The sequence below is a fragment of the Homo sapiens genome, chromosome 14 (assembly GCF_000001405.40).
Source record: "Homo sapiens chromosome 14, GRCh38.p14 Primary Assembly".
Classification (NCBI taxonomy): domain Eukaryota; kingdom Metazoa; phylum Chordata; class Mammalia; order Primates; family Hominidae; genus Homo; species Homo sapiens.
The window spans coordinates 106,329,965-106,351,956 of record NC_000014.9 but is presented as its reverse complement, the minus strand read 5'-3'; the positions used below and the strand labels follow the sequence as shown (position 1 = coordinate 106,351,956).

Sequence of the window (21,992 nt, the reverse complement as noted above, 5' to 3'; positions counted from 1 at the left end):
CCCAAAGTGCTGGAATTATAGGCGTGAGGCACCGCAACTGGCCTCTTCATTTTTATTCATATGTTCCTTCAGCAGCCACTATGTCTTCCCACTGATTTCTTCAGTTTCTGCCTTTTCCTTTTGAATAAGGCTGTTACTCCTGAGGGAAGATGGGAGGTGGGCCTGGACAGGGACTTGGTGCATTCCTCTCTCCTGTCCCAGTTCTTATTGGTTTCTCCAGTGTCTGTAGAACAGTGGTTTTGGTGGCTTTACCTCTGCAGATAATTTCTCTTGCAATGTAGTGGTGATGGGGAGGTGTGTCTGGATGCATTTCAGCTATAGTTGCTGTTTTGCTTTCCCAGACAGCACCATCCCAAAGGGTAGAGGCTGGAGCATTTTGTGATGTATCCCCAGTACTGAAGAAAAAGGCTTCAATAGCAGGAGGAATTCCTCAACTGTATACACTCTGAGAATTTAAACAATAACTTCTCTATCACACTCAAATTGAAACCATCCAATGAATATGTCTACTTTAATCGTGTGCTAACTTAAATGGCATTTGGCAGCCTCTGTCCCAGAAAAGATTATCATCTGCTCCTGTTTATTTCCCTGCACGTCCTTATCTCTCTTCAGATTTCAGATATATTGTTTGTCCTATAACATCAAAAATTTGATGTATATGTGCTAATTTGCAGATCAGTAAGTTTAGTAGCTGTTGTAAGAATAATAACATATTTTTATCGGGTGCTTACATCTCCAAGCTGAGAAGCACCTCTATGTGTAATACTAAGAAACTAGAAATGATACAAATATCAAGAAGATACATAGATAAAAAGTAATGGCATGCTAATTTACTGTAATAACATCCATCATGAGAATCAATACATTGTTGATGCTCAACATGTTTGCATCATAAGTAGTTACGTGCGAGAAGCCACACAAATAAAACACATACTATATAATTCCTGTATAATAAATTCTTGAAACTCAAAACTAAGGTATTAAATGTGAAGGACTGACTCAGAATATGGTGGGGGAAGAAAATAATTGGGAAGGAGGAATTGTAGAGCAACACAAGGAAACTTTTAAGTGTAATTTGTTCATTATTTGGATGGCTTTTGGGGATGCACAGGTGAGCACGAGTGGAATTACATTGTGTTTTGTTTGTTTCTTTTTTTTTTCTGAAGAGATGTGGTCCTTCTCTGCGACCCAGGCTGGAGTGTAGTGGTGGGATCATAGTTCAATGTAGCCTCTAACTTCTGGTCTCCAACAATACTCCTGCATCTGCCATCTAAGTAGCTGGAACTACCGTTGTGTGCCAGGAGGTTTGGCTTGGCTTGAGTACTTATTAAACCACACACTTTTTGCAATATTTAATGTATAGTAATAATGTCTCAATAAGACTACTACAAATCAATGAATGAATAATTTGTTCAGTACAGATTCATGGAAAAATAGACACTAACATGATGAATGTCTGACATTTATGAAAATACAACTGCATGAAATGTGCTTCTCTTTACATTCATTAGGTAAACACAATAGTGCATACACATCACACCGTGCTTTCATTACAGGAAGAAAGATCTGAAAATGTCACTGGGGTGAACCACATTGTGCTGGGCTTGGTTCAGGGAGCAGTCAGGCCCAGTGTTGTGACCTTCAACCACAGAATCCTTAAAAAATAATAAAAGAGGCTCCCCCAAAGTCCCCATCAGTTCCCGGACTCGCTATGTTTCTGGATCGTATCAGTGCATCCGGAGCTCCCTGGTGGCTTTAGTGATTCCTTGCTTGCCATGCTGAGGTCTCCCTGTAGATTATGTTGGGTTTTCTGAGGCCGTTTTGCTATTTAAGACCCACTCCCTGGCACAGAGCGATTCCCTCTAAACCTGATAGAGGTTCTGAACTAAAAATAACATTAAGTGAATCCTGGTGTGTCTGAACTCAAGTGATTGTTACATTAAGCTGCTGTTGCAATCTGTTTCCTCACCTGGGAAAAGAGGAGCCAGGACATAGTGAGTTGAGGCCCCAGGAAGATAACTGAATTCTCAGAGGGCACAGCCAGCATCCTCCTCCCAGGGAGAGTCTAAAAGACTGGGGCCTCCCTCATCCCTTTTCACTTCTCCATACAGAGGCACCACCCCCATGCAAATCTCACTTAGGCACCCACAGGAAACCACCACACATTTCCTTAAATTCAGGGTCCAGCTCACATGGGAAATACTTTCTGAGAGTCCTGGACCTCCTGTGCAAGAACATGAAACACCTGTGGTTCTTCCTCCTGCTGGTGGCAGCTCCCAGATGTGAGTGTCTCAAGGCTGCAGACATGGAGATATGGGAGGTGCCTCTGAGCCCAGGGCTCACTGTGGGTCTCTCTGTTCACAGGGGTCCTGTCCCAGCTGCAGCTGCAGGAGTCCGGCTCAGGACTGGTGAAGCCTTCACAGACCCTGTCCCTCACCTGCGCTGTCTCTGGTGGCTCCATCAGCAGTGGTGGTTACTCCTGGAGCTGGATCCGGCAGCCACCAGGGAAGGGCCTGGAGTGGATTGGGTACATCTATCATAGTGGGAGCACCTACTACAACCCGTCCCTCAAGAGTCGAGTCACCATATCAGTAGACAGGTCCAAGAACCAGTTCTCCCTGAAGCTGAGCTCTGTGACCGCCGCGGACACGGCCGTGTATTACTGTGCCAGAGACACAATGAGGGGAGGTGAGTGTGAGCCCAGACACAAACCTCCCTGCAGGGAGGCGGAGGGGGCGGGCGCAGGTGCTGCTCAGGACCAGCAGGGGGCGCGCGGGGCCCACAGAGCATGAGGCCGGGTCAGGAGCAGGTGCAGGGAGGGCGGGGCTTCCTCATCAGCTCAGTGCTCTCCCTCCTCGCCAGCACCTCAGCTGTCCCCAGGACTCCTCTTTCTTTATTATCTGTGGTTCTGCTTCCTCACATCCTTGTGGTAGGAAAGGAAGGAGGAAGGCAAATTTTCCTCTTAGAGTCAAAGTGTCACTAATTACTAGGAACTTTCCTACAAGTTCCTGAATGTCCCATTTTTCCTTCTTAATTAAAAAAAATATATATTCTAATACTTCTCACCATCTCTTGATTTGTGTCATCAGTTGAATTGTGCTGTCTTTGAAATTCAAATGCTGAAACCTTAAATCCAATTGATCTATATTGGAATTTTAAGGATGGAATTAAGGTTAAATGTGATCATAAGTCTGAGATTCTAATGCAATAGATCTGTTGTCTTTATAAGAAGTGGAAGAGTCACCAGAGACCTCTCACTTTTCCCGTGCACGCAGAGAAGAGGCCATGTGGAGACATAGTGGACTAGAAGGTGCAAGCCAAGAAGAAGCCGCACCAAGAACCAACCCTGCCAGCACCTGGACCTTGGACATTCAGACTTCAGAATGGTGAGAAAATCAATGTTTGTTGTTTAAGCCACCCACTCCTGTTGTCTTCTTATGAAGACCCAGACAGACTAATACCACATAACTCTGTTAGCTCCTGGAGGGAGAAGCAGCTCCCTGAGGCTGGGCACATCTCTCAGATATCCATATGAAGTAGGCAGAAATAGTAGTTCTCATATAAAAATGTGTCATGGCCCTGTTGGCCATTTTTTTTTGACGGAGTCTCGCTCTGTGGCCAGGCTGGAGTGCAGTGGTGCAATCTCAGCTGACTACAAACCCCGTCTCCTGGGTTCAGGCAATTCTCCTTCCTCAACCTCCTGAGCAGCTGGGACTACAGGTGTCCACCACCATGCCAGCCTATTTTTTTTTTGTATTTTTAGCAGAGACAGGGTTTCACTGTGTTAGGGTGGTCTCAAATCTCCTCACTGCATGATCTGCCTGCCTCGGTTTCCCAAAGTGTTGGGATTACAAGTGTGAGCCACCGCACCTGGCCCCTGTTGGCCATTCTTGGGGCAATGTCTCTGAAACCAGCCCTGGTGCCTGTACCACAAAATTTTCTTTTATCTTTCATGTGGATATAACAAATGGACAATGAGGACCAGCTGCATGGAGACTGACCACTGAACATCTTCTGCTGTCTCCTAAGTAAGTCACAGGAAAACACACCAACATCACCAACATAACTGTTTTCCTTCAACTTCCTCGAACGAACTATAGAAATGATCCCTTAAAGTATAGTCTATTCCTTCAACTTTCTCAATTTGCACTGAATCCCTTCCTAAATTAGGAGCTACATAGGGTCTGAGTTTTGTTCCCTTTCTCCCAGTCTTCCCCAAGTATCAAGGACAGAATAGATTTAAATTAAATTTGGCCGTCCATGCCCCCAACACCACATCGGTTTCTAACATCCTTGTCATGTACCCATCCTTCTGTGGGCACCCCACATCAGGTTGCCCAGGAATGGCCAGAAGGTGTCATCACCTTATGGGCTGAGGCTACAAGTTATACACACGTGTGATTTCAGTCACACACACTCTACTGCAGGACACACCTGTGTTCTGAGGAACTCAGGCGCCTGCTGATCTCAGGTCTTCTCTAATAAATTACACACCTCTTATGAATGAAGGTCCAGATGGCCCCATCAGCTGCAGAGCAGTGGATTAAAGCTCATGGGTGGGTCAGTCAGGCAGAAGTCAGACAATGGGATAATAGAAGTCAGACAATAGTCACTGAGGTTCCCAATGTATTTTAATGGAATAAAACAATATTAGCAACAAAGGGGCAGTAAAGAAGACTGGCTCTTGAAGGTATTTAAGGACCAGGAACTTTATTTGGGGGGAAAGTGAGAGACACTTTTACATGGAAAGCCCTAAAGCACATACAGCAGCTGACAGAGTGGCCACTGTGCACATGAGGGCTGAGGAGACGGATGATAGGTTACGTTGCTCCAAGATGTCCCTGGGTGTGTGATGGTTGGACTCCTCATGCATATGAAAATAAGAGCTGGACTCAGGGAGAAACAAGGGCCATACCCCATAGAAAAGGAAGAAAAAAAGCAGATGGGCACCCCTGGAGAGAGCTCATTAGATTTGGTAGGTTTGAGATGAAAATTACTTCCAAAGGTTTTAATGTTCTAAGCTAAATATGAATCTCTTCAATAAAGTGAGAATTAAAAGAAGAATGGAGCTAGGAGTTGAGAGAGGAAACAAATTATGAGAGAGCAGAAAGCAAATCCACCCAAACTGTCACATGACAGAGGCCAGAATGGAGCTGATGCAGCTACTTCACTATTCTGCAGACCTAGTTGACCATGTGGAGAAGGGGTTCGAACAAACGGGGATGTTCTCCAACCTTCCAAAACAACCTCCTTCTTATGCATATGCAGTAATCATGATTCTCAGGGTGGCCTTCCCAAGTTTCCTGTTCTTACCTCTTCCCCCAGGGGTAGAGTGTCTTTTCCAACCCACAGTGGTTTCTCTGCCATGTCCTCAGCTTCTCCTCCATTGTACTTAACCTGAAGATTAAGGATTTCATCTGGATGGAGTTTCCTGGGAATCCTCTGTTTTCTTTGGTTTCTGATGACCACATCACAGGCCATAGGACACAGGTTTTAGTGGATTTCCCCTGGAGACAGTGGAGGTGAATCCAGGCGTTCCACAGTCCTTACCGTTCTTCTCTTCCTGTCAGCACCGCAGGACAGCAGATAAGGGAGCTGACTGTGGATTTTTCAGATCCCCGGGAAAAAGCCTGCAAGGACTAATAGTTTCACATCTAACACCATTAGCACATGCATCCAAAATTAAAAAAAAAATCCTCACTAAATATTTCCAGGTTAGCCTGTTCCTCTCTCAATACCATACCGTGGCACCTGCCCTGGGTTCGGTAACATGTGGGCCCCAGTCCTCTCTGTAGGCGTCTGCCTCCTCAGATTTCAGTCCTCTTTTTTGCTCCGTGAAAGCAACTCAGATATGTTAAAAGGTTTTCTTCTTCATTTATTCATAATTTTTCAGGTTTGTTGTTAATGAGGAAAGAGTAAGATCATGGTTTCCTCATTTTTCACATTCCCATACTGAGTAACTGCTCTCTCTCTATGAAAGCCAGAAATTAAGAGAACAACTCAAGTATCCATATCCATTACAAGTGAATGTTAGACAATTTGATGTATGATTATGAACTAAAGTACAACACAGGATTAGAATCCAGGCATCCTCATTCTCATAAAATCATGGCTGCATTCACAAATAACTGTGCTGAGTGAAAGTAGCTAACAAATTAACAGTGCACTTCATAAACTTCTATTTGTATAAACTGCAGAAGGTACAGCTATTCTAAAGCAACAGAGAAGATTACATATTGGTGGGAACTGGGTTTTGAAAGTAATGGGGTGGTGAGATGAAATTACAGAGAAGTGACACAAAGATTTAGGTGTGAATTGTACACAAATTAATTGAAGCTCTGATTAAAGGGTTGCACACATGTTACCATTTTCCAAATTATGCAGTATATATTTGAATTAATTATTAATTGTATTTAAATAAAGCAGTAACAAAGAAACAAATGAATACATTTATTGAGGTGGAGCCAAAACTAAATGGGAATGAACACTCGAAACATCTCTGACTCTTGAAAATACACAAGCGTGAACACTGGTTCTCTCTATGTATTTCAGGTCAATAGCAGAATACACTAAAAGAAAACAGAGATGTCCTGGCAGGGGTGGAATCCTGCAGACCTCACTAGGCATGTCTCACACTGCCCTGGAGTTGTCTCAGGGGAGCAGTCTCCTCTAGTGGTCAGAGGCACAGGCCGAGATAATGGGGCTAACTCTGTCCAGCTGTGTGACCTTGAATGCATTGTATAAACACTCTGTTCTCTGTGTGATTTATCTTCCTTAAAATGTGACATTGACACTTGCATTAAATGTATTCTACAAATATGTCAAAAAGATGATGACTGCTAAATGATTATCAAGGCACAATCATATAATATAATGATATTTTCCTGAGTGATAAGATGACTACCAATCTCCCCCAGGGCACTTTGTCTGCTCTGAGCCCTGCACCTCCTCAGGATTCCCATCCCAGAGCTTGCTATACAGTAGGAGACATGCAAATAGGTTTCTCCCTCTGCTGATGAAAACCAGCCCAGTCCTGACCGCACAGCTCTGGGAGAGAAGCGCCAGCCCTGGGATTCCCAGGGGTTTCTATTTGGTGATCAGGACTAAAGACAGAGGACCCACCATGGAGCTTGGGCTGAGCTGGGTTTTCACTGTTGCTGTTTTAAAAGGTGAACTAGAGAGATTGAGCGTGAGTGGATACCCTTGAGAGAAATGGTGGATTATGTCTGGGAGTTTCTGACCAGGATGTCTACGAGTTTGCAGGTGTCTAGTGAGAGGTACAGCTCGTGGAGTCCGGAGAGGACCCAAGACAACCTGGGGGATCCCTGAGACTCTCCTGTGCAGACTCTGGATTAACCTTCAGTAGCTACTGAAGGAACTCGGTTTCCCAGGCTCCAGGGAAGGGGCTGGAGTGAGTAGTAGATATACAGTGTGATGGAAGTCAGATATGTTATGCATAATCTTTGAAGAGCAAATTCACCATCTCCAAAGAAAATGCCAAGAACTCACTGTATTTGCTAATGAACAGTCTGAGAGCAGCGGGCACAGCTGTGTGTTACTGTATGTGAGGCACCAGGTAAGAAGACATCAGTGTGAACACAGACACAGTTTCCTGCAATGATAAGGGAGGAGGCTGGGCTAAAAGGGGCACTCAGGACCCACTGAAAACGGGCAGCTCTAGGGCAGGTACAGATGGTTATCATGGGCTGCTTTCCTTCGGGGTCTGTGGCTTCCTCTGCATCTACCAGTTCCCCTCGGAGCCTCTGGACATTTATGTTTCTGTGGCCACCCCTGACATCTCTGGATTAGAAAAGTTTATTATAGGAAGAGGAAACATTTTCATTTGTCCCAAAGCAGATGTAAGTAATGGAAGCAAAAAATGCACAGGAGGCCAGGTGGGGCTGTAGATACTGTCACCCCAGAATGTCAATCTCACCACTAGTACTGGAGAGGCATGGGAGTTTGATGGAGCTTCCCTAACAACTCTGTCTTCCAAGATAAGTCCAGCAAGACCATTGGTGCCTCCCAGAGCACAGTTGTCCATCAGGGATGTCCAATGCTTCCCAGCAGCAGCCATGCCTCAGTGTCTCCACTGTGCACAGCCACTGTCTGGGAGGAGCTCCCAGGATGGGTGTCTTTGGCACACACCAGGTGGCGGGTGTTAAGAGTGCAGTGCAGCAGCTGGCTGCCTGGTCTGTTGGGCCTGATGCTGGAGAGATGGGAGGTGCATTCTTGGGGCCAGCATGCTGTTTGTGAATTTTTATATAAAAACTCTGATTTTACTTCATTTTCGCAGATGACATAGATAACTAAAAACAGAATCTGCAAAGAAATTGTAATTTTCAACTTTACCCCAAATTCATTGTTTCTTAATTCTGTGCAAGATCCAGACATATTATTGCCTTCCTCATGATAATTTATTCTATGTAAAACCGAAATCATTTTTTCTCCTACTCTTTGTTTCTGTTCAAGTACAGAGATCTTGAGCAAAGTAAGTTGGGTTCTTTCCACACACTAACCCTCACCTTCCCCAGAGAATGAGCAGAGATTGTCCTCAGTCTGAGTCTAAGGGAGGAGCTGTTTCTGCACAACTCAGAGCCTGCAGAGACCCCCAGGTGCAGCTTCAGTGAGTCAGACATTTCTCCATGTGGGCGACCTCCAGTGCCTGTGACTGCTGCTCAGGCCTAATTGTTGGTTAAGCATTAGGACACTCTTTAGGTGATCACATCTCAAGCCTATTCTGAAAATCACCATGATCAGAGATAGTTCAATGGCCATTCTCCTAACATAAGTTTCTCTTTATTACTTGGTTCCAAGTATGGAGAAAAATGTGACCCTATATTTGTCTGAATCCAACATCAGCATCAACTGCATTATGCTAGGAGACTCACTAATTGAGCACAAGTGAGCTCGTTATTCTCATAGAAATGTAAGTATTTGGAAATTTCAGTGTGTTCTCCAGAACCTGTGGCTGCCAACAACTGTATTTCTCGGTGCACTCTTGGCCTGGTGAAGCCTTCACAGAACCTCTCCCTCACCTGTGCCATCTCTGCATTCTCCATCACAACCAGTGTTTCCTTCTGGAGCTGCATCCATCAGCGCCCCCATGGGAGGTACTGGAGTGGATCGGGTGCATAGGTCATGGAGGGAGCACAAATTACTCCCCTCTTCTCAAGAGTCCAGTCACCATCTCCAGATCCATGTCCAAAAAGTAGTTCTTCTTACAGCTGAACTATGTGAGGAACAAACACATAGCCATGTATTTTAGAGCAAAAGACACAGTGAGGAAACCACAGTGTGAACTCATACCCAAGCCTCCCTGTGGGGGTGCATAGGACAGCCAGGGTTACTCAGGACACCAGGCTCCCTCAGGACACCAAGGGGCACTCAAGACCATTGTAGAGGCATGCAGGTAGCTGGGGGCTCTCAGGAACCATGGGGGAAAATCAGGACACCAAAGGGTGCTTGGTACAGCGGGGGGCTCAGGATTATTGTGGCGATTCAGAAAGAGCAGGTTCAAGGCTCAACCTCAGGGCATGTGCAGCTGGTGTGAAAAGGAGCTGGATGAGGCGTTTTGTGTCACCATCATGTTTCACCACCAGACACCCTCCACTACCTCTATTCTAATGCATGTGTTTGTATGATTAGAAAATGATATTGATATAAATATATAACCATAGCTAGGTGTGTCAAGTTGTCCTCTCCATCTTATATCAGCCTTGTCTGTAAGGACTAATTCCCCATAATTACTTGAGAACCTCATAAATTGTGGTCAATTATGTAGGATTCCTCTCTTTTTCTGCCTTCCTTCCTCCCTCATTCTCTCTCTCTCACACAGAAACTTATATACAGCCACCCCACAACACACATAAATCTATAACTTTTATTACCTGATGTATTGATAAGTAATCTAAAGTTACATAAAAATCAGTAGTTCACTGTCAATATTGTAGGAGAAGGGAAGGTCTAGGAAGGAGGAATTACAGAACAAGAGGATATTTTGAGGGTAATTGACTTGTTATCTATGTGGATAATGATAATGTCTATGACCATATTTGTAAAATTGAACACTTCGTGTGGAGACTATTATTTTTTTATTTAACCCCATGCCATTATTTTGCCGTATTCTAGCATTTCTCTAAAAATACAGAAATGTTCAGCACTCATTCATGTGTATATTCAGGAGTTTCTGACTTTTCATGTATTTTATTTATCTCTGTCTAATTGCTTTGATACCAAATTTTACCTAGTATAATTAGTACTACCTTTAGCACTGATTATAAGTCTCACTCCTCCATCATCTCCTTTTTTGCCACACAAGCTGAATCTAGTTTGGACTCATAGGAGCTGCTTCATTCAATGCCAGTGGTTGTTTCAAACCCTATCAACCCCCCTACAAACTGTCATTAAGAAAGTTTATCAAACTCCACCAGTCATGTGATATTAGTTCGTTTTCACAGTGGTATAAAGAACTACCTGAGACGAGGAGTTTACAAAGAAAAGAGGTTTAGTTGACTCACAGTGCTGCATGGCTAGGGAGGCCACAGGAAACTTATAATCATGGTGGAAGGTGAAGGCGAAGCACGGCACATCACACAGCGCAGCAGGAGAGAGAGGGGGAAGTGACACATACTTTTAAACTATCAGCTCTTGTGAGAAGTCACTCACTATGATGAGAACAACATGGGAAAACTGCCCTCATGATCCAATAACCTCTCACCTGGTCCCTCCCTTGACATGTGGGGATTAGAATTTGAGATGATATTTAGGTGGGGACACAAAACAAATCTATAGCACATGTCCAGCTGTGTCCTGGAGTTGTTTCAGGGATCCAGTGTGTACTGTTGATAGAAACAGTGATCATCATTCTAGCTGGTGTGAGATGGTATCTCCTTGTGGTTTAGATTTGCATTTCTCTGATGGCCAGTGATGATGAGAATTTTTTCATGTGTCTTTTGGCTGCATAAATGTCTTCTTTTGAGAAGCGTCTGTGAAAAAAAAAAAGAAACAGTGACACCAAGCTCACACCATCCGTTGTAGTTGACAACATGCAAAGCCAAGAGATCTCAACTGAGATTTAGTGTGTGTGTCATGTCTGATGAAGTCATAAGCTCAGAGCAAGTGAATATGGAAAAGTGTATTATCTGCACAGTGTAGGTGTCTGCTGAGTGCAGGGCAGGTCTCACAGGAAAATCTAAAATGGCTTGAAAGAAGAGGAAAGGAGACTGGCTCAGGGTTTTTATAATGGTTTAGTGGTGGCGGCAGAGTGAGGCTTCCCACTCACAGATCGGGGTTTATAAGGTTTGAAACTCCCACTGCCATTGAATGAAGAAGCTCCTGTGAGTCCAAACTAGATTCACCTTGTGTGGCAAAAAAGGAGATGATGGAGGAGTGAGCCTTAAGTAATCAACAGGCATGCACCAAAAGATAGAGTGACAACTTATTCTAGGTAGCAAGAATAAAAATAATGAAAAAGAAATAAGGGTTCAGTATCGATGGACAAGACCCAGATCTACAGAAATGAGATGACTTTAGAAATATAAGGAAATAATAATGAGAGAAAGAAGGAGGGGATGGGGAATTAGGGTCCTGGCCGAATGTCTTGGGTAGAAGCTTCTCACAATCAAGGACTATCAGCTTATTCTGCAGGTCTTAGGTCACACGTCTGCTTAAAAACATCAGAAATGCCAGGCAATCAATGAGGATGCTCAGTTTAGCATCTCCTATTTGAGTAGATTTACAGTTGTGTGGAATTCTTAATTGATTCTTTTTGGTTTGTTTTTAGAGGCAGGCTCTCACACTGTTCCACAGCTTAAAGTACAGTTGTGTGATCATAGCTCACTGTAATTTTGACCTCCAGACTCACGTAATCTTCCTGTATCAGCCTCCTGAGTATCTAGAATTAGAGGGGAATGCCACCCCTCACCTGCTTATTCTTTAAAATATTTTTTCATAGAAATAGCATCTCTTTATGTTGCCCAGGTTGGCTTCGATTTCCTGGTCTCATGTGATTTCCCTCACTTTGCTTCTGAAAGTGGTGTGATTATAGGGAAGATCCACTGCATCTGTCCTGAATTGATTCTTTACTTGTAAAACATGAAGCCAATAATTAACTGCCTGACTGTTTTGTGCAGTGAGTTAGTTAAAAGTTTCTGATAAGATTCCTTCCAATATGATTCAAGAGCAGTATTTTCTGCCGATATTCCTTTCAGTTTCCTTGTTGAAGATCAGAAGACACTGCGGAAAAGATGTAGTAAAAAGGCAGTTTTAACTCTTCATGATTGGAGTGGATATCACATAGGAATCCCTTTCCGTATTTTGTAACACATGCATGCAATAGAACAAAGATGATCCCTTGGTGTAAAATCTATAAACGTATGGGCCTTTTAGCTACCAAGTCATAGGGTAATAACTGATGGACCCTGAGGAGTGAACCATGATTCCATAGTGCTAGTGGGAGAACCCTTGGCCAAGGAAGTTCACATTTTATTAAAATTGATAATTTTTATGTAGGGATGCCATTTTTTAAACATTCCCAGAAGGTTGTGAGTGGGATTGACTCTGTCTTCTGTGAACAATGACAGTGCCCTCCATGGTTAGATAATATTTTAAACTAGATTGAGCTAGAATGGTTGCTGTATTGAATCACTATATTTTTTTAGCTTCATGTTAGCTTTTTGTGTGTTAGCATTTGCTTTAAAATGATATTAATCAGCCCTCTAGTAGGTAGAAATTCATCTGAGGGTTTCTTCCCTTGTTGTCCATCTCAATAGGATTTCCAGAAGACGTAAGAACCCTCTCTGTTTCTAAAAATATTCCAGGCTGGGCGCTGTGGCTCATGCCTGTAAACCCAGCACTTTGGGAGGCCGAGGTGGGTGGACCCCTCGAGGTTGGGAGTTTGAGACCAGCCTGGTCAGTATGGTGAAACCTCATTTCTACTAAAAATACAAAAATTCGCCGGGCATGGTGGTGTACACTCGTAATCCCAGCTACTTGAGAGGCTGAAGTGAGAGGATTGCTTGAACCCTGGAGGCGGGGGTCGCAGTGAGCCGAGATTGTGCCACTGCACTTCAGCCTGGGCGACACAGCGAGACTCCGTCTCAAACAAAACGACACAAAAAATTCCAAAGTTGTGCACCCTCTAAAAGCATACGTACTTAATTCTCATTTTTAATTTATTAAACATCTCTAATAAGTTCAATGTTTCCTGCCTTCTGAGTTGATTTCCTAACACATAGAAGAATATATCCTAAATGAAAGTTTGTGTTCTTAATAGAAATTACTAGTTAATAACCTTTACTTTTATTATTGAGGTATTATACATCAATGTTAATCCTCTCAATGGGACTCTTACCTAAAGAATATATAAAATATTTTCCTGATCATGACATAAAGTAGATGTGAACACATTCTTAGCATTCAGCCATGTCTCTTGTCTATTAATATTATAAACCACATGCTAACTTTGATTTTATTGGTAATTGTTCTAATTTCTTTTTTTTTCCCACTTCTCTGGTTGTTTTTTTTTTTAACTTTAAGTTTTAGGGTACATGTGCACAATGTGCAGGTTAGTTAGATATGTATACATGTGCCATGTTGGTGTGCTGCACCCATTAACTCGTCATTTAATATTAGGTATATCTCCTAATGCTATCCCTCCCCCCTCCCCTCACCCCACAACAGGCCCCGGTGTGTGATGTTCCCCTTCCTGTGTCCATGTGTTCTCATTGTTCAATTCCCACCTAGGACTGAGAACATGTGGTGTTTGGTTTTTTGTCCTTGCGATAGTTTGCTGAGAATGATGGTTTCCAGCTTCATCCATGTCCCTACAAAGGACATGAACTCATCATTTTTTATGGCTGCATAGGATTCCATGGTGCATATGTGCCACATTTTCTTAATCCAGTGTATCATTGTTGGACATTTGGGTTGGTTCCAAGTCTTTGCTATTGTGAATAGGGAATTGTTCTAATTTCAAACTAGTTAATTTTTATCTTCATGCAGCTAGATTATTATGTGTGGCTATTTATTCCGAGAGTGATAAAGACAACATTAACAATTTTCACTGCAGGCATGTCTAGGCAACTCCCTGTGCACTATGACCCTGGGGCGTTGGAGATTCTATGGGGACTCTTCCCTACCTGCCTAGGAGAGTTCTCTGCCTTCTACCTCTAGCATTTTCCTCTTTGAAGAAGTACATCTAACTGTCATTAGAATAGAGACAAAGACAAGTCTTAACTGCTTCCAGCTGAGGAGGGATGCTGTTTGGGGAAGATCTCTCTTGGAGGTCTAAGGGACCCCAGGAAAAGGGAGCCATTATCCCAGGCTTCAGTTGCATGACCATTTGGAGTTTGATGGTCTGAAAATGAGAAGAGGCAAATCTGGTTATTAGAAGACATGTATGAAAACCAAACAAGGTGGCAAGGACAGCTTGAAAGAAAATTCCAAGGCTGCTGACATTCCTAGATAACTGCAGCTGTAGTTATGCCTGCTAAGGTTTGGGCGCATGGGGCTTGGCTTTTGTCAGCTCCCTGGGATTTATTTTCCCAAACAAAGAAACCTCCAGGTTAGGGGCACCCTATTCATTCCCATCACCTGGCATGATTTAAAGGATAATTGCTTAGAATTAAAATATTGATCCAGATTTTTTATATTCCCCATCGCTTTTTGTTTCTTCTGGGCTGTAGCCAGAGATCATTGATTGGCGCTCAGGAATAAGCAGAGTTAGTCTAAAATGCAGGCAAATACTTAAACAACTGAAGAGATTAGAATTTAAAGACAAGTGTATGATATGTTTTGAAATACAATGTTTCTCTTTCCAGTTTTGGTTTTTGTCAGCAGCAAATAATGATAAGACTGAGTTGTTTGCAAAATAAACTTTAGTCTTAAACTTGGCCTGATTATTTGCATAAAGTGCAGCAAGAATATTAATAATAATTCTGTAGGAAAAGCCTGCAAGCACCAGGAGCTTCACAGTCTAACACTATGAGCACGTGCATCCTCACGCAACTCACTGAATATGTCCAAGTCAGCCTGTTCCGATCTTAAATGCCATCCAGTGGCATCTGCCCCAGGTACACTAATACATGGGTCCTGCTTCTCTCTGCAGCCGCCTCTCTCCTCAGATTTCAGGTTTTGTGTATTGTTTGTTTTCTCTCTGACATCAACACAGATATGTTGAAGGTTTTCTTTTTTTTATTTGTAGTTGTTCAGCTTTGTTGTTAATGAGGTCAGAATAAGCTCATAGTTTACACATTTTTACATTCCCATGCCGAGTAGCTGCTTTTCTCTATCAAATCCATTAACTGAGAGAACAATCACATTTCGTTACAGGTGAACAGTTAAATAGTTTGGCATATATTTCTGTGCTGGAATCTAATGCAGCTTGAAATCAAGTCATGCCTCACTCATTGAAAAAAACATGGCTAAATTCTCAAAGAATTGTGCTGAGTGAAAGAAACTAAGGAATGAAGAGTAAATTTTATATGATACATTTGTAGAAATTTTAGAAGATGCCACTATTATAAATTAACATGGAGAAGATTTAAATGTTTCTGAGAATATGCTATTGGGAGTAATGGGGATGTGAGTTAAATTTCAGAGGAATAAGAGAAAGATTTAGGGATTAATTTATTCAAACCTTGATTGAAGTGCTGAGTAAATGGTTGCAAACATAGGTCTACATTTTTCAAATCATTCACCATAAATTTGAATTATTTATTAATTACACTCGAATAAAGCAATAAAGAAACTGATGAGATAATATTTGACTGAATTGCAGCAATAAATAGATCGATATTAACACAAGGAATATAACTGACTTCCAAAAACATACACATGAACCGTGGTTCACTCTGCGTATTTAGGTAAATAACAGAAAGTTGTCATAACAGATGGGGAATCCTGCAGACTTCACTAGGCATGGGCCATGCTGCCCTGGAGTTGTCTCAGGGGAGCTGCCTCCTCCAGAGGTTAGAGCACAGGCCCAGGTAATAGGACTAAATTTTTAGATGTGTTATCTTAGACACACTGCACAACTGCTGTGTTCTCTATGTAAATTATCTCCTGTAAAATATAACATTGAAGCCTGCATTAAATATATTGTGTAAATATGTAAGAATAAAAGAAAGTTATGAGAGCTAAGTGTTAATCAAGGCACAAGCATATAAGATATAACTATATTTTCCTGAATGATGGAATTACTACCAGTCTCCCCCAGGACACTTCATCTGCCCTGAGCCCAGCCTCTCCTCAGATGTCCCACCCAGAGCTTGCTATATAGTGGGGGACATGCAAATAGGGCCCTCCCTCTACTGATGAAAACCAGCCCAGCCCTGACCCTGCAGCTCTGGGAGAGGAGCCCAGCACTAGAAGTCGGCGGTGTTTCCATTCGGTGATCAGCACTGAACACAGAGGACTCACCATGGAGTTTGGGCTGAGCTGGGTTTTCCTCGTTGCTCTTTTAAGAGGTGATTCATGGAGAAATAGAGAGACTGAGTGTGAGTGAACATGAGTGAGAAAAACTGGATTTGTGTGGCATTTTCTGATAACGGTGTCCTTCTGTTTGCAGGTGTCCAGTGTCAGGTGCAGCTGGTGGAGTCTGGGGGAGGCGTGGTCCAGCCTGGGAGGTCCCTGAGACTCTCCTGTGCAGCCTCTGGATTCACCTTCAGTAGCTATGGCATGCACTGGGTCCGCCAGGCTCCAGGCAAGGGGCTGGAGTGGGTGGCAGTTATATCATATGATGGAAGTAATAAATACTATGCAGACTCCGTGAAGGGCCGATTCACCATCTCCAGAGACAATTCCAAGAACACGCTGTATCTGCAAATGAACAGCCTGAGAGCTGAGGACACGGCTGTGTATTACTGTGCGAAAGACACAGTGAGGGGAAGTCATTGTGCGCCCAGACACAAACCTCCCTGCAGGAACGCTGGCGGGAAATCAGCGGCAGGGGGCGCTCAGGAGCCACTGATCAGAGTCAGCCCTGGAGGCAGGTGCAGATGGAGGCTGTTTCCTGTCAGGATGTGGGACTTTGTCTTCTTCTGACAGTTCCCCAGGGAACCTCTTAAATTTAGAAAACTGTGCCTAACAATGTCTTCTCTATGCATATGAGGACCTTTTCTCCCTGGCACAAAATGCAGATTGACGCTGACACGGATGAAAATTCCTCAACCATGGTCACAAGGATCAGAGTCCTGAGTAACCTCAGGGCTTCCTGGTGAGTCTTCTCCAATCAGACCCAGGACAGGGACCTCCGTGAGATTCCCTGACTGGAACAGTCTTTATGGATCCTGGTCACAGACAATAGAGAGGCTGAACCAGGGTCAGCGTCATGTAGAACCTCACAGATTTCACGTCTGATCCTTCTCCTGACACGAAAGTATGCAAATCAGTATCAGCACCGATCTGGTGCTTCTTTTGTTCCTAATCCATTTACTTTATTTTTTCGTCGTTTTTCTCCTTTTTCCATTTGTTTTTCCTGCTTTTTGCAAAAGGAAGATGTTTTCCCTGTGAGATGCAGGGGATGACAATTTTGGGAGATGGCTGGAACATCCAATATCCTCAGGGCCGGCCATCAGTAAGTGCAGGCTGGAAGTCTCAGAAAGAGCTGAAGCTGCTTAATCACCGTGGAGTTTTACCTTCTCCAGTTCTGCTCTGATGGAATCAGGGCCAAGCAGGTTATCAATGATAATCTACCTAACATAGAGTCAACCGATTCCAGTTTCAATAACGTCTGTTAAAAATTCACACCACCACCTGGATTAGTGTTTTGTCAAATCAATACACAGTATTGTCCAGCTAAGTAGACCCAAAGACGGACCGTTGCCCATGGAGAAAAACATTAACCTGAGTTCTAGGTTCTTACAGTGTTAAAGGTGTAAAACTGATTATTAAAAATGAGGCTATTTTTCTTTTTGCTGTTGAGTTGTAGAAGTTTCTTTTCCATTTGGACATTAAAACTTTTTGAGATATATGGCATATTATCCAATTCTGTAAGTTGTAGTTACTTGGTTGCTTTGCAGAATCTTTTTCATAATCTATTCCCACTTGTTCAATTCTGCTTTTTTTTTGTAGGTGATTTGAATGTAAAATCCAGAAAAAGATTGCTAATTTTTTGAGGGTTGAGAGTTTTACAATTACAGGTATTAAAGTTAGATATTTGAGGCATTTGGAGTGAATTTTTGTGTTTATTCTAACCTAAAATTCTTAATTCTTTTCATGGGAAAATCCAGTTTTCATACCACCCTCTTTGGAAGACACTACAATTTAGCCATGTTATATTGATGGTTCTCATGCTAAAAATCAGCTCGTCATCAATATGTGGGTTTATATCTAAGCTCTGTATAGGTATTTATGCCAAAACTTTCTATGTTTTTAACAAATGTTAAGGCCTGGAAGTGAAATGCCTAAAGCTTTCTTCTTGCCTTGTTACAGATATTGGACCAAAATATTCTAACCTTTTACTATTGAGTGTAATAATAGCTGTGGCCTTTCTTAACGGCTTTTATTATGTTCAAGTTGTTTTCTTGTCTTCCTACTTTGTTCATAGTTTTTATAATGAAACTGATTTTTTTCAAAGTCTTTTTCTGTGTCTGATGAAATGTTACTGAGGTATTTTTTCTTTAGTTTTTTAATGTGGTGTACCAAATTGGTTGATTTGAGAATGTTGAATCAAGTATGCATCTCAGGAAGAAATTTGAGTTGGTCATGGTGTATGTCTTCTAAAACACTTTGGAGCTTAGTTTACTATTGTTGGGGATTAATTCATGTCTACTAATGATATTGGTCTGTAGTTTTCTTTTATTGTGGTGCCTTTGTCTATTACTGGTAATACTATCATGGTAGCCTCATAGAAAGAGTTTAGAAGATATATGGCAGACTACCTTTAAAATAGATTTTATCAGTGGAGAAATGGTGATAGTTTTTTCTTCACTTTTCTGTTGGGAAGAATTTTATGTTGTTTAAAAGATATTCAGAATGACTTAACCTGGTTTATGAGCTTTCATTCTATTCCTTTCTTCCATTCTTTTTTTTTTTTTTTTTTTTTTTTTTTTTTTTTTTTTTTTGAGACGGAGTCTCGCTCTGTCGCCCAGGCTGGAGTGCAGTGGCGGGATCTCGGCTCACTGCAAGCTCCGCCTCCCGGGTTCACGCCATTCTCCTGCCTCAGCCTCCCAAGTAGCTGGGACTACAGGCGCCCGCCACTACGCCCGGCTAATTTTTTGTATTTTTAGTAGAGACGGGGTTTCACCGTTTTAGCCGGGATGGTCTCGATCTCCTGACCTCGTGATCCGCCCGCCTCGGCCTCCCAAAGTGCTGGGATTACAGGCGTGAGCCACCGCGCCCGGCCTCTTCCATTCTTTTTGAAGAACTGCTTACCTTTCCTATTTATTTTTAAGTTTGTTTTTAGACGTATGCAATACATTTTGAGGTGAAACCTGGTGGAATTTTTTCTAATAAATTAGAAAAAAATAAATCATTTAATTGACTATTTTATTCAGGTTGATTTGTTTAATATTTGCTAAAGGCCAGTTCTTTAAGCTATGACACATAATAAATCCCAAATGGCAGTACCTCATTGTTTACTTAGCTTTTGTACTTATATTTCTCAGAGGAAGAACCACTACTGTAAATTGTAAATAGCCAATACATAATTGTATTGTATGCAAATCTGTGACTGTTTACAGTGTCATCTCTGAGAAACATAAAGTTTATTTACTATATATATATAAAGAGTTTGGAAGGTGGACTCCTCACCAATTTTTGAAAGAGTTACAGAAGGGCTGGCATTACTTCTTTAAATGTTAAGGTTCATTTTATGATGTGACATATAACCCATCATGGAGAATGTTCAATGTGTTCTTGAGAAGGATGTGTATTACGTGACTCTTGGTTGGAAGGTTCTGTAAATATCATTCAGATAAATTTGTTCAATAGTGTTGTTCAAGTTCAGAGGCACATTAGGAATTTTCTTTCCGGATTTGCTATACATTATGGTCATGAGGTATTAAGGTCTTGTGTTATTTTTGTATTGTTTTCTATTTCTTTATATCTCTTACAGTTTGCTTAATGCAGTTATATTTGTATTTGTACACATGTGTAAAAACAAAAATCATAATTGCTAAATGAGTTTTATGGCACAGTCACATTATAAGTAATATTTTTCCAAATGCTACCATTGCCACTAAACTCCTCCTGGAGTCTGACGTCTGCTTTGGGCACTGCCTTCTTCTCAGGCATCCCACACTGGAGCTTGCTATAGAGGAGGAGGGAGGGCCCCTCTCCTGGTGAAAACAAGCCCAGACCTGACCCTGCAGCTCTGGGAGAAGAGCCACAGCCCTGGGATTCCCAGGGGTTTCCATTTGGTAATCAGGACTGAACACAGAGAACTCACTATGGGGTGTGAATTAAGCTGAATTTTTCTTGTTGGTATTTTAAAAGGTAACTCATAGGGAACTAGAGTGAGTGAGAGTGAGTGGATATGAGTGAGAGAAACAGTGGATATGTTTGCCAGTTTCTGACCAGGATTTGTTTGTATTTTCAGGTGTTCAGTGTGAGGTGGAGCTGATAGAGCCCACAGAGGACCTGAGACAACCTGGGAAGTTCCTGAGACTCTCCTGTGTAGCCTCTAGATTCGCCTTCAGTAGCTTCTGAATGAGCCCAGTTCACCAGTCTGCAGGCAAGGGGCTGGAGTGAGTAATAGATATAAAAGATGATGGAAGTCAGATACACCATGCAGACTCTGTGAAGGGCAGATTCTCCATCTCCAAAGACAATGCTAAGAACTCTCTGTATCTGCAAATGAACAGTCAGAGAACTGAGGACATGGCTGTGTATGGCTGTACATAAGGTTCCAAGTGAGGAAACATCGGTGTGAGTCCAGACACAAAATTTCCTGCAAAAAGAAGAAAGGAGTCTGGGCCAAAGGGGACACTCAGCACTCACAAAACAGGTGCAGCCCCAAGGCAGGTGCAGATGGAGGGAGGGTAAGGGCTGCTTTCCTTCAGGATCTGTGGTTTCCTCTGCTTCTAATATTTCCCCTCTGAGCCTCTGTACATTTATATTTTGTGCCCACCATGAGGTCGCTGGATTAGAAAACTAATTTGAAAGAGGAAATATTCTCATATGTCCTAAAAACAGATGTAAGTATTGGAGGCATAAAAATGCATAGGAGCCGGGTGTGTCTGTAGACACTGCCACCCCCAATGCCAGACCCACAACTAGTGCTGGAGAAGGGTGGGAGTTTGATGGAGCTTCCCTGATGACCCCGTGGTCCAAGCTAAGTCCAGCAAGGCCATTGGTGCCTCGCTGAGCACAGTTGTCCATCAGGGATCTCCCATGTGTCCCAGCAGCAGCCATGCCTCAATCTCTCCACTGTGCACAGCCATTGTCTGGGAGGAGCTCCCAGGATGGGTGTCTTTGGCACACACAGTTGATGGGTGTTAGAGTGCAGTGCAGCAGCTGGCTGCCTGGTCTATTGGGCTCCTGGATATTGGAGGGATTTGAGGTGCATTCTCAGGGCCAGCACGCTTTGTCAATTTTTATATGAAAACCATGTGATTTAATTCATTTTCTCAGATGACATAGATAATTAATAACACAATCTGCAAACAATTATAATTTTCAACTTTACCCCAAGTTCATTGTTTCTGAATTCTGTGCAGGATCCAGACATGGTACTGCCCTTCTCATGAGAAACTGTTCGATCTAAACTGAAACCAGTTGTTTCTCGTATACTTTGGTTCTCCCCACATGCAGAGATCTTGATTAGAGCAAGTTTGGTACTTTCCACGCACTCACCCTCACCTCCCCAGATAAAGAGCAGAAGTTCTCCTTAGACTGAGTCTGAGGGAGGAGCTGTTCCTGTACCACTCAGGGCCTGCGGAGACCCCCAGGTGCAGCTTCACTGAGTCAGGTGTTTCACTCCCTGTGATTGCTGCTCAGGTCTAATTGTGGCTCGGAATTAGGACAGTCTTCAGGTTATCACAGGTCAA

General features: G+C 42.7%; 4 pseudogenes, 2 gene segments (V, D, J or C) and 1 further gene; all 7 read left to right on the top strand.

Moving 5' to 3' along the window:
* IGH (immunoglobulin heavy locus) overlaps window positions 1-21,992 on the top strand; it is a 1,293,408-nt gene that overhangs the window by 527,888 nt on the left and 743,528 nt on the right.
* IGHV4-30-2 (immunoglobulin heavy variable 4-30-2) lies at window positions 2,237-2,674 on the top strand. The segment is given in 2 exon segments: window positions 2,237-2,282; window positions 2,365-2,674. Coding segments are annotated over 2 exon segments (356 nt in total), but the record flags the coding sequence as incomplete, so codon positions are not given.
* On the top strand, window positions 7,124-7,572 carry IGHV3-30-2 (immunoglobulin heavy variable 3-30-2 (pseudogene); annotated as a pseudogene). The gene is given in 2 exon segments: window positions 7,124-7,169; window positions 7,264-7,572. Coding segments are annotated over 2 exon segments (355 nt in total).
* On the top strand, window positions 9,004-9,277 carry IGHVII-30-1 (immunoglobulin heavy variable (II)-30-1 (pseudogene); annotated as a pseudogene). The gene is given in 1 exon segment: window positions 9,004-9,277. A coding segment is annotated over 1 exon segment (274 nt).
* IGHV3-30 (immunoglobulin heavy variable 3-30) lies at window positions 16,424-16,877 on the top strand. The segment is given in 2 exon segments: window positions 16,424-16,469; window positions 16,571-16,877. Coding segments are annotated over 2 exon segments (353 nt in total), but the record flags the coding sequence as incomplete, so codon positions are not given.
* Window positions 18,876-19,721, top strand: GOLGA4P2 (golgin A4 pseudogene 2; annotated as a pseudogene).
* Window positions 20,394-20,851, top strand: IGHV3-29 (immunoglobulin heavy variable 3-29 (pseudogene); annotated as a pseudogene). The gene is given in 2 exon segments: window positions 20,394-20,439; window positions 20,543-20,851. Coding segments are annotated over 2 exon segments (355 nt in total).